General features: G+C 36.4%; 1 protein-coding gene across 8 annotated transcripts in view; it reads left to right on the top strand.

Annotated features, from left to right (window-relative positions):
- ITPR2 (inositol 1,4,5-trisphosphate receptor type 2) overlaps nt 1–13,387 on the top strand; it is a 497,843-nt gene that overhangs the window by 62,564 nt on the left and 421,892 nt on the right. The gene's annotated exons all lie outside the window — the stretch shown is intronic.

Genomic DNA, 13,387 nt, shown 5'->3' with positions numbered 1-13,387 from the left:
TATAGATGAGGAAGTTGAGGCACAGAGAAGTTAAGTAACTTGCTCCTTGTCATACATCTAGGAGGAAGCAAGCAAAGCTGTGATTGAAATCTAGACCCTTAGCTACCAACTATACTGCCTTTAAACTCAAGAGACTGTAGAAGCACAGAGAAGAGAATTGTGATTGGCTTTGGAATGCAGAGGAAGAATGGCCAGTTGTTAACCAGGCAGAGAGGAGGGGATGATGGAGAAAGAGGCATTTCTGGCTGAGGCACAGAGGTATGAAATAGCATGACCAGTTTGTGGGGGTAGTTAGAAGCTCAGTCGACCCAGAAATACTCTCTTGACTTCACTGAAAAAAGAATAAGCCTCCCCAGTCTACAGTTCTGTGACTTTTTTCACCTCTAAGGCTGCCTGTGTGGGAAGATGGAGAAAGACCTTATTTATTCAATCCTTTGCCTCTCTCAACCCATATAGGAAGGTCCTTGGTGAAGTCTTCAGATATTTATATGATACAGATCTACTTTTGGAGAAAAGGATGATCCTTATAACAGTACAACAGAGTACATTTTAATCATTTTTATAGGATGTTGCTCTCCTAAATGATGTGGAGGTTATAGGGTTAGAGTATTTCTATCTATGCTATATTCATTATTAAGTTTGTATTCTTTAGGAAGTTATTCCCAATCGTGTTACACCAGTAGAATTTCCCTTGGAAAATGCATTCTTTTGATAATGTATTTCTAGGAACGTGATGTGGTAAGAAACATGGACTGTTTGTGGAAATGAAACTTTGGCTCAGTCAAAATACTTTCCATGAATTAAATATAGCTGTTTTTAAGTAAGCCACTCCCCCCATCCGGTCTTCTCTTGTGTCATGTATTAGGCATATTAATATATCAAATCAGTTCCCTTTTTACCTATTCTCTAGTATAAAGTGTCTCCACTGAGAAGGAGGGTATTATATAAATATTTATTATTTTATGTGGAAATATGTGTGCATTAATATTGTGCTTCTATGGTTTATGGTAGGTGAGTCTTACTTGTTTTTCTCTCTTCTGAGTATTAAACAGATTAACAAAAGTTATATTTTGTTTATGGAAGTCTCTGTGTTGCTCCATAAGCTTAATAATCATTAACTTATTCAAGCTACCACCAAGAGTTTTAGATAAAAGATTGATTTGTACACTGTGTATTCAAGCCGAAGTCAACTGCCTTTCCTTCCCAGGTGTTGATTTAGTGAGTGAGCAGTTTGAAGATCTTCTCTGAACAGGTGCCCTGTTTACAGTTTGTGGTTTTCAAGGTAAATACAGCAATTTCAGAATAAAGCAAACATTGCTGGTGGGTGGCAATGTTTGTTTTACAAATGCTTGGAAGTGGTTTAGAAATTGTCTTTTAAAGAATAAGGTGGATAATAACCCAATAGAGCAGCCCACATGAATGGAGATCCAGTCTCAGTTGGCAAGGCACCATTGACTCACCCTTGTTCTCCTGGAACCTTGCTTGCCCTTCAGCTGGAACCCCTGCAAAGAGAGACTTATGCCTGAAAATGAAAGTGATGGCTCCCCAGGAACCCACTGAGTCCTGGTGCTTCTGTAATGTTTTACTATGTGGCTGAGATTGGGGTGTGTGTGTGTGTGTGTGTGTGTGTGTGTGTTCTACTGGATGACTTGGAGGTGGTCAAACTTACAGAGACTCTGAAGGGCCATGAAGAACTGGAGGATAACATGCTTATCTAGAGAGTGTCCTATCTTGGAAGTACCCTAAAAATGGTTTTTACTAGCATTTTTGAAAGGGCAGAAGCTTCAGCTCTGTTTAGAAATAGGGCTGTGGACATTTGTCCTTCTGGTTCTATTTAGACAGGCTGCATGAAACACAAGTGCAGTTACAAATTGTTGTAGGAAGCCTCACAGTTATGCAACTTGAACTCTGATTATATCTGCATAATTAAGGACCCAGATGTGGGTCCTTAATAATTTTTAAGAGTGTGAAGGGGTCCTGTGACCAAAAAGTTTGAGAAATGCTTGCTAGAGGAACAGTCAGGAAACAGGAGGTTTTTTTTTTTTTTTTTTTTTTTTTTATATATATTTGTATTCATCCATTTGACATTCTCTTACTTTACTAACTAATACCTTTAGATCTGAATTTCAATTTTCTTTTTTTTTTTTTGAGTTGCACAAAATTTTTATTTTTTTATTTTTTATTTTTTATTTTTTATTTTTTTTTAATTTTTTTTTATTATACTTTAAGTTTTAGGGTACATGTGCACATTGTGCAGGTTAGTTACATATGTATACATGTGCCATGCTGGTGCGCTGCACCCACCAACGTGTCATCTATCATTAGGTATATCTCCCACTGCTATCCCTCCCCCTTCCCCCGACCCCACCACCGTCCCCAGAGTGTGATATTCCCCTTCCTGTGTCCTGGGATACATGTGCATAATATGCAGGTTTGTTACATAGGTATGTGCCATGTAACATGTGCCATGCTGGTTTGCTGCACACATCAACCTGTCATCTACATTAGGTATCCATAAGCTTAGTTCAGCTATGGGGAAAAAGCACATGTTAAAAGCAGTAGATAGGCAAGGATTAGGTAAGAATCATGGTCAGGGAAAGTAATTAGAAATCAGGAAGTCAGCGGGTATACCAAGGAGGCGGCATGAAATAAGGGAGCAAGAGAAAGCCTATTTTCTGTGAGCTTTCTGAGGACCCACATTGTATCTCTACCACAGCTTATAAAGCAGGATGTTTGTCAATGATCGAATTGATAAGTATAAATAATGTTGAATCAAACATATGTTGAGAAACAGATGAGATGTTTATCGCAGGATTATTTATAATGGAAGAAACAAATATATAAAAAGAAGAAAAAGATTTAATACATCGTAATTTATTCTAGGAGGGAATTAATGTTTTCAGGTAATATTTAATGACATTACAAAATGTGAAATGGAAAAGAGACTTCATGTGAAACTGTGTATATAATACGTTTCTGGTTATCTAAAATATATATGCATGTACAAGTGTACACTTTGGCAAATTTGTCTGTCTCTCTAAAGATACATAACAAAATGATAATCATGTCTAACTCTGGGACATGAAAAGAGGTGTGATATTTTCTTTATAGTCTTTTGATTTTCCAAAATGTTTTCAGTGGTGACACATCAATTTTACAGTTAGAAAAAAGTCCAAGTTTTTCACACATACATACATGCTTTTTCTAAGCCACTAGAGAAAGGTTCAGGTCAAGTTTCATATTGAAAGAGCTTCCTGCCCTAGGCTCAGAACTTTATTTATTTGCTGCCTGTGTGAAGCTGCTCTGAACCTCTGGAGGGAGCAGAGGCAGGTGAGAGCTCCAGGCAGAGGTGGGCATTGGCAGCCAGATATTGCCTACACTAGAGGAAAGACACAAGTACAAGAAGTTGCTTTAATTTGAACTGCAGTACTTGATGCTCCATGTGAAGAACTTTAACAAACTCCAGGCTCAGAAGGAGGCCGGCCTGCTGCAGGGCCATCAAGGAAAGCACAAGAAAGCTTGTAGCAGTAAGAACAACAAAGGAAAGAAGGAATGACTGGGGGACTGGCAGCCTTGTTTTCCCTTTGCCATTTGGAAGGAAAAAAACCTAGGCTTATTATAGGAGGAAAAAATAATAATTAAAAGTATGTATGATGTATTATATATATACGCACACATGCACCTGCATATATACATCGTACTAGCTAATGTTTTCAGTGGTTTCCATTTTCTAGTGCTGTAGAACACAAATTGTCCTATATTGCCTCAATTTTACCTTTTTTCTTCTCTCTTTAGAATATAGGAAATCTGTGACATTTAAAAGTGAAAGGACCCTACAAAAAATTAACTCAAAGTGGATCATAGACCTCAGCGTAAGAACTAAAACTATATAACAATTAGAAGCAAACACAGGAGTAAATCTGTATGACCTTGGGTTAGGCAGTGATTTCTTAGATACAACACCAAACCATAGGTGACAAAAGAAAAAAATGGATAAACTGGACTTCATAAAAATTAAAAACTCTTGTGCTTCAAAGGACACCATCAAGAAAGTGAAAATGCAGTCCAAAGAAAGGGAGAAGATATTTCCAAATAATTTATCTGGTAAGGGACTTGAATCTAGAATATATAAGGAACTCTTATAAATCGATAATAAAAAGACAACCCAATTGAAAAATGGACAGAGGATCTGAATAGATATTTCTCAAAAAAATACGTAAAAATGGTTAGTAAACGCATGGAAAGATGTTGTCATTAAACATCAGGAAAAATGCAAATAAAAACCACAATGAGATATCACTTGAAACCTGGAATTATAGTTACAAAAAAAAAACAGATAATAAAAAGTATTATCCAGGATGTGGAGATATTGAGACCCTCATAAACTGCTGGTGGGAATTTAAAATGGTGTAGGACCTTGAAAAACAATCTGGAAGTTCCTCAGAAAGCTATAATAAAATTACCATTTGGTCCAGCAATTTTACCCCTAGTTGAAAATGTATGTCCACACAAAAATTTGTACCCAAATGTTCATAGCAGCATTGTTCATAATAGCTCGAAGTGGAAACAACCCAAATGCTTAGCAGCTGGTGAATGGACAAACACAATACGATATATCCCTACAGTGGAACATTATTTAGCCATAAGATGTAATGAACTACTGATACATGCTACAACATAGATCAGCCTTGGAAATATTATGCTAAGTGAAATAATCCAGTTATAAAATGCTACATATTGCATGATTCCATTTATATGGAATGTCAAGAATAGGCAAATCTGTAGAGACAGAAATTAGATTAATGATTGCCGAGGGCTGGTGGAAGAGGAGGTAAAGAGAGGCAGTAAGTACAAGATTTCCTTTTGAATTGATAAAAATGTTCTAAAATTAGTTGAGATGTTTGCACAACTCAACTGTGAATATAGTAAAAATCATTGAAATTACACACTTTAAATAAGTGAGCTTAATGGTATGTAACTTATATATTAATAAAGCTGTTAAAAAACCAAAAGGTATGTAGCCAACATAGATAAAATGTTAAAACTCACAAATAATAAATTACAAGTTTAAACAACTGTTGTATGTTATTACATCCATCCAATCAGCAGAAATATGTAAAAATTACAGTCTTTAAGAGAAGGTAAGGGCAATAGGCACTGTCACATTGAAGGAAAGAGTATACATTGGTACACTTTCTAGAGAGCTGTCAGATGAACCAGACATATTTATAAGGCCTTGGCTCAGAAAGGAAAATATAAACTAACCAGCAAGCAAAGAATTCTGATCTTAAACAATAAATAACAAAATTGTATCTCCATTTACTCATGAGTACACACATTCAATGATACACTTTCTTGCTTGTAAAATTTATAATTAACATAGGTTGTTGAGTCAACATGGGATGGGCAAAATTCAAGGCAAATAAGAGTATCATTAGTTGTTTTGATGCATGTCCCATAGAAAATACGGGCTATTTTGTTGACTTTTCATACAAAATTCTGTGGGTATTGTTCAAGTTCTACTTATACAAAATATGTTGTAGGTTATGCCACTTAGAGCTTCCTTGTTGTCTGACAACAGATTTAGATGGAAGGGCCTGATAATCTTATCAGTTAATGTCTTCATTCCAGTTGAGTTTTAGGGTAGCCCAAATGTGGGTAAAAAATTTGCAGAAATATTGTTTTTCATTAGCTGTGTTCCTTAGCTAAAGAAGAGAAAACAATAACAATATTCAACAATTTAGGAATGGTTAAGTAAAATATGAAATATAAGTGTCATTAAAAAGAAATGTGGGCTTTTCCAGTATACATTCTCAATATCTTTTTATTTGTTCATTTGTTTTATTGGTTTATTTGCCATCTATATAATTTCTCTGGTAAGGTGTCTGTTCAGGTCTTTTGTACAGTTTTTTTGTTGTTGTTGTTTATGGGCTTTATTTAGAAATCCACATTAGTGATTCTGATAGTTAGGATATTAACCCAATAATTCCTTTTCTTTGTGGTTTATTTATTTATTATACTTTAAGTTCTGGGATACATGTGCAGAACATGCAGGTTTGTTACATAAGTATACTTGTTGCACAGTTTTTAATTAGGTTGTTTATTTTCTTGTTGTTGAGCGTTAAAGTTTCTTTGTATATTTTGGATAATAATATACAAAGACATAGCCTTTATCAGGTATGTCTTTTGCATATATTTTTCCCAGTTGGTGCCTTATCTTGTCATTCTATTGACACTGTCTTTTGCAGAACAGAAGTTTTTAAATTTCATGAAGTCCAGCTTATCATTTGATTCTTTCACGGATTGTGCCTTTGGTATTGTATCTAAAAAGTCATTGCCACACTTGAGGTCATCTAGATTTTTTTCCTATGTTATTTTCTAGGAGTTTTATGGTTTTGCACTTCACATTTAGGTCTATGATCCATTTTTAGTTAATTTTTGTGAAGGGTGAAAAGTCTTTGTCTAGATTTAGTTTCTTGCATGTGGATGTCCAGTTGTTCTAGCATAATTTGTTCAAAGACTACCTTTACTTAATTTTATTGCCTTTGTTCCTTAGTCAAAGATCTGTTGATATTTTTATGTAAGTCTATTTCTGGGCTATCTGTTCTGTTCCTTTGATCTGTTTGTCTGTTCTTTCACAAACATGACAGTGTCTTGATTACTGTAGCTTTATAGCAGGTTTTGAAGTTAAATAGACCTGTTCGTTTCACTAAAGAAAGGTTGAGGAGGAGGGTAGGGAAGATGGATACCAAATTTCCACCTTTTATGTAATAGAGGCTAGATGTAAAGATCTGGCTTTAGGTATTTTGGCCAAGTGGGTGTGCCAATTCTGAACCTGTAATTTTACCCAGTCTTAGCATTCAGGTAATCATATAAGTCCCTTCACTTCTTTAGGGCTGTGCAAGTAAAAGAATGGAGAAATGCCACAGTTTCACTCTCCAAATTCCCATTACCAGAAGGAAACAATGGAAGTGGGGAAGAAATTCCCCACTAATAGAACTTCTAAAAGAAATAAAAATTACACAAGTGCCTCTCATTTAGCTTAAGAAAGAGCACTTGCAAGTAACTTAGAAGCCCCCGTTTCACCACAAAGATAACTACTATCCTGAGTTTTGTGTTAACCATCCCCTTTATTTTCTTTAGTTTTATCATTTATCACATGTGTATGTATCCCTAAATTAAATATACATCTCATCGTTTTTTGGATTCATAAACTTCGATGGGAAAAAAAGTCATACCTTTATTTTCACTAGCTTGTTTTCACAATTTTCATTATTTTCACTATTTCATTGCCTTTGATTACATTTATTTATTTATTTATTTATTGAACTGGTAGGTTTAATTTTTTCCTCCAGCTTTATTAAACTATAATTGGCAAAGAAAAAATGTATATATTTATGGTGTATAACATGAAGAGTTAATATATGTATACATTATGAATTGATTAAATGAAGCATATATGCCCCAGAACACGCATCCATCACCACACAAATGTATTTATTGTAGTGAGAACATTTAAGATATACTCTCTTAGATATTTTAAAGTATAAAATGCATTTCATTAATTATAGTCATAATGTACAATAGATCTCTAGAATCTATTCATCCTGTCTAACTGAAACTTTGTGCTCTGTAACCTAAAATGTCTTGTAGTTATAACAGTTTATTTTAAGCTGATAGCAGTGTGACTTCAACTGCATACAAAAACTCTACACTAACTTCTCCTCCCAGGATAAGTTAAAGTGTAGAGTTCTACATCGCTTCTAATTTTGTTGAACTTCTAATTTTGTATAATTGTTTTTATAATAATTTTATGTTATTGATGCCACAATTTATATATATTTATATATTGTATATCCATTAACAAGTTATTATAGCTACACTTATTTTTAATGCTTTTGTCTTTTAACTTTTATACTAGAATTAAAAGCGATTTATCCATCACCATTACAGTAGATGATTCTGAATTTGACTATAATCTTACCTTTAAAGTGAATTTTATACTTCTACATGTTTTCATGTTGTTAATTAGTGTCCTTTCACTTCAACTTTAGGAAATGCCTTCAGCATTTCTTGTTAGGCAGGTCTCATGGTGATAAACTCCCCTAGCTTTTATTTTTCTGGGAAAGTCCTTATCGTTCCCTCATTTCTGAGTGTAATAGTCTTGGTTGGCAGTCCTTTCTTTCACCACTTTGAATATGTCATCCCACTGTCTCCTGGCCTGCAAGGTTTCTGCTGAGAAATCTGCTGATAGTCTTATGTAAGTTTTCTTGTTTGTGATGAGTTGCTTCTCTGTTGCTGCTTTCAAAATTCACTTTGACTTTTGAGAATGATTTAATGTGTTTCAGTGATGATCTCTTTATAGTTAATCTATTTAGTGTTATTTGGAATTCATGAATCTGGATGTTCATTTCCTGTCCAAATTAGGGAAGTATTCTGTTATTATTTCTTTAAATAACTGTTATGCCCCTTTTTCTTTCTCTATTCCTTCTGGGACCCCGTAATTCCTATATCAGTTCTCTTGATGATATCCTATACTCATGTAGGCTTTTTTCAGTCTTTTTAAATTCTTTTTTTCTCATGTTTCTTTGACTGAGTAGTTTCAAATGACCTGCCTTTGAGCTCACCTTCTATAGTTTGATCAAATCTGCTGTTAAAGCCCTTTATGGAATTTTTCAGTTAAGACATTGTATTCTTTAGCTCCAGAATTTCTGTTTAGTTCTTTTTATGGTTTCTGTCTCTTTGTTGAACTTCTAATTTTGTGTAATTGTTTTCCTGGTTTTTGTTTGGTGGTCAATCTGAGATCTCTTGTAGTTTACTGAACTTCTTTTTTAGAGACAGGATCTCGCTCTGTCGCCCAGGCTGAAGTGTGTTGGCATGATCATAGTTCAGTACAGCCTTGAATCCCCGGACTAAAGTGATCCTCCTGCCTCAGTCTCCTGAGTAGCTGGAACTACAGGCATGTGCCACTATGCCTGGCTAATTTTTAAAAAGTTTTTTGTAGAAATGTGTTCTCACTATGTTGCCCAGGCTGGTCTCAAACTTGTGGCCTCAAGCGATTCTCTCACCTCCACTTCCAAAGTGTTGGGAATTACAGGCACAAGGCACCATGCCCACCTCACTGAACTTTTTAAAGATGATTATTTTGACCTCTTTATCAGAAAATGTATAGATCTCCATTTCTTTAGGGCCAGTCACTGTTGCTTTGTTTTGTTCTTTGTTGGTGGTTTTGTGTTTCCCTGATTATTTGTGATTTTTGTGACCTTGTGTTGGTGTCTGCACATTTTAAGAATTAGGCATCTAGTCTAGTCTTAACTAACTTCAGCAAGGAAAGTCCTTCACCAATCAGCCCGTCCAGAGATTCTTGATGGGCTGTCTGGTGGATTTCTCAGGCAGGATTGCTGATACAGTCCTTGAGCAGGCTGGCCTGGTGCCTGGGTCAGTAGGTATATGAGTCTGGTGCTTGAATCTATGGGGTTGGGCCTGAAGCCTTGGTCCACTGGGCTTGCTTGGCACTTAGGTCCATGGGGGCGGACTTGAAACCTGTAACCATGGGCCTGGCCTGAAGCCTGGCTCTACAGAACTTGGCCAGGTGCTGGGGTGGCCCTTAAGCCTGAACCTATGGGAGCCAGGTTAGAACCTGGGTCCACAGGGGTGTTCCTGAAGGCTGGGTCTGTGGATGCCAGCCTGGTGCCTGGGACCATGGAGGCTAGCTTATTGCCTTCAATTATGAATGTAGATTATAAATCATTGTTCTGGGAAAGGTTCCATGAGCTTTACCAGACTACCATGGCACATTCCTAATAGAGTATTTTCCTAGGAGTAGCTTTGCTGGATCATCTCAGGGAATGTGTTTTCACACTATTAATAGGAAACTATCATACTCTCCATTCTAGTCTTTCTCGCCAGGATTCCTCATCTACCACAGAACACAGATAATAATATGCATAACTGTTTTCTTAGTTTTCCAAAGGATGATATATAACCATCCTTTTCATTTTAGATGGGTAGGAGAGAAGTTCATTTGTTATAGACAAGGGATTTGTTAGGGCATTAGGGCTTACTTCTCTCCAGAATCACACACAGTTTTGGCATTAAGTTCTTTGTTGGTGCTATGAAACTTCTCTTTCCTGCCTTGGGGTTTGTACTTAGACCATGGCACTGCCACTTACTGGGAGTATGACTTTGAGTGGTTATTTAAACCTATTTCATTTTCAGTGTACATACTGTAAAATGATGGTGATGTAGACATCTTGGGTTTATTTAGAAATTAAATAAAATAATTTTTGTAAAGTAACTAGCACATTTATTGGCACAAAATAGAATGGTACTCCCATTCTCTGTAAGAAATCAGAGATGTGTATGTTAATATATACAGTAGTATCCATAGGTTCTACATCTATGAATTCAGCCAACTGCAGATTGAAAATATTTGAAAAAAATTCTGCCAAGTTCCAGAAAGCAAAACTTGAATTTGCTGCACCCTGAGTACTACATTGAATCTACATGAATAAAGTGATGGATAGGGAGTATTAGGTATTATAAGTAATCTAGAGATGGTTTAAAGTGTACAGAAGAATGTGCATAGGCTATATGCAAATACTATAGCATTTTATATCAGGGACTTGAGCTTCTGTAGATTTTGGTATCTGCAGAGGGTCCTGGAATCCATTCCCCAGCAGATACCTAGGGATGACTAATTACATTTTCCATCTCTTTCTTTCTTCCTTGAAATGCTGAGAGTTGTTTTTAATTTTATCTTTGTTACTCCAGTGAAATCATATTTGATTCTGGCTTCCATATTGCTGTTAGTTTTTTTAGTTCAGACTTTGCTTGGGCTTAGCCGAAGAGTTGTCACTAATCACTAGAAGCTTTAGAAAAGATGATGTGGAGGTCATAAGGAGCCCTTGTTGTCGGGCTTGTCAAAAGCTGCTATTTCAGTGTCATTATTGCACCCTGCTTTAGTTGTGCTCTGCACCTCTAATTGCTCTTTAGTCTTTGAAGTAATTCTTGTCACTTTGCCTTAGTAAGATTGTGTGTTCCAGCTCTTAGTATAAGTAACTCTGTATTTAATTTGGCTAGATTTACTTGGTATTTGCCAAATTAGTGCAATTTCCTTAGGTAAGATATAATTTACAACAGGATGACACCTCATAATTTAAATAGCAGCTGTTGAGGGGAGGCAAACAGTTACGAATTACTCTTTCTCTTCCTTTGAAAAAGAGCTGTGCTATGGTGCTGTGAGGAAATGAACAAAGTGTTTTAGGACATTCTTGGTCATATGTTGTTTGATTTACATGGACAAAGGAAAAAAAACCTACTCATTTGAATTTGCTTTGAAATGTTAACATAATTTAGATTCCTGTAAGATAATTTTGAAAGAACAACTCTCTTGTTACTAAAAGAAATTCTTCCTGTTTGCTAGTTCATGTAATGGGTAATGGCCCAGTTCACCTACATCTGGGGAGGGGGTGTTTCTTTTTTGAAACGGTGAGAATTTATGTGCATGTATCATTCATTTATTTCTGAAGTATTTACTGAACACTTTTTATGTGTTAGGTACTGTGATAGACACTGGAGATATAATTGTAGGCAATATGGGTACTGTTTCTGCTTTCCTGGTGCAAATGGACCATGATGTCCAGAAGGTTTAAGTTTGGTCTCTTGATCTCAGTCATGGAAGAGACTGTATGCAGGAGGATGTGATCCATAGAGGATCAATAACCTGTTGTTTGAAAAACTATAAGTTTTTTATATATTTCCATTTATATTTCCTTTGGCAATTAAGAACATTTAAAAGAAAGTGCTGGTGGATTTCATTTGAGCTAAGTAGAATGTAGGAAATTCTTCTGCCATCCATATACCTCGTTCTATGTAGGCAGCCACAGACCAATGAGGGAAGAGTATGTAAGTTGCAGCAAGTAAAACAGCCTTGCTGGAGATGGACACTTATTAAGACAATCTGGCTGCTGGGTCAGATGCCCTGTCCTACCTGGAGCTTCTCATTCCAGTGCCTAATCTGTGAAGACTTGAACATCCTGTGTTCTAATAAGAGGCCTTATATACTAGACATGCAACTTTTAACAGTAACATTATAAAGTTGGAATTTTTGGGGACCATTATGGCTAGAAAGACCATGGAATGGAGAAAGGCTAGCGTTAAGATGGGGAATCCTGTTTTCTCCCCATTAATCCTGCCATTGATCCTGACAAAATTAATCAAGGGCCAATTGTAAGGCAAAAATATACAACAAATAAACTAAATGGGGAAATGAGTGAACATTAACACACATCTATTATGTACTAGGTAGTATTTTGTTATTTCTAAATTTTCATATTCAACTAATCTTTTATAACTTAGAAAAGGAGACATCAATGTATATTAAATGAATACTTAAAATATGCTTTTATGTATACTATCTCTAAGGAAGTAAGAAGGTTAGAAATGGGGGGATGGAGAGTGAGAAAGGTAAGAGAAAAGGGGATGGGGATGACACTGACTCTGGTGAGATTGAGAGATAGAGACAGGAGAAGCTACATGGAGGGAATAGAAAGCAGGTGGAGAGGTTCTCACCTCGATTAGTAATTTGGACAGTTACTTCAGAATCAAATTTTAGTAACTACTACTATTCCTTAGAATTCAAATTAATGCTTAAGCAATTACTTTTTAATGCTCTAGAAATAATCAAACAGGAGAGTCACAGCAGCCCTTTCCACCCTTACTTTCCCATCTTCCACATCCCCAAGAGGATATTTTGCTAAGGACTCTGCCTAAAGCACTATCACAGTATGGGATATTTCCTGAGAGTCCAATAAAATTAAACAGAGATGGACTTGGATCAGAGAGAGAAAGAATAACGGTTGAATTAAGTATTTTCATGTATTTCAAAAGTCATGCAAAGTGTGAGAACCAACCACAGTTGTCCCTTGAATTACAATGGGGACATGTCCTGATAAACCTATCACAAATTGAAAATATCGTAAGTCAAGCTGTTACAGGAAAAGGGTCCCAATCCAGACCCCAAGAGAGGGTTCTTGGACTTCAAGCATGAAAGAATTCAGGGTGAGCCCATAGAGTAAAGTGAAAGCAAATTTATTAAGAAATTAAATGAATAAGACCGGGTGTGGTGGCTCATGCCTGTAATCCTAGCACTTTGGGAGGCCAAGGAGGGCGGATCCCCTGAGGTCGGGAGTTCGAGACCAGCCTGAGCAACATGGCAAAGCCCTGTCTGTCCTAAAAATACAAAAATTAGCCAGGCATGGTGGTGGGCACCTATAATCCCAGCTACTCGGGAGGCTGAGGCAGGAGAATCACTTAAACCCAGGAGGCGGAGGTTGCAGTGAGCTAAGATTGCACCATTGCACTCTAGCCTAGGTGACAGAGTGAG

The sequence above is a fragment of the Homo sapiens genome, chromosome 12, assembly GCF_000001405.40.
Source record: "Homo sapiens chromosome 12, GRCh38.p14 Primary Assembly".
NCBI classification, from domain to species: Eukaryota; Metazoa; Chordata; class Mammalia; order Primates; family Hominidae; genus Homo; species Homo sapiens.
The sequence above is the reverse complement of the archived record's forward strand: the minus strand, read 5'-3'. Positions and strand labels throughout refer to the sequence as shown.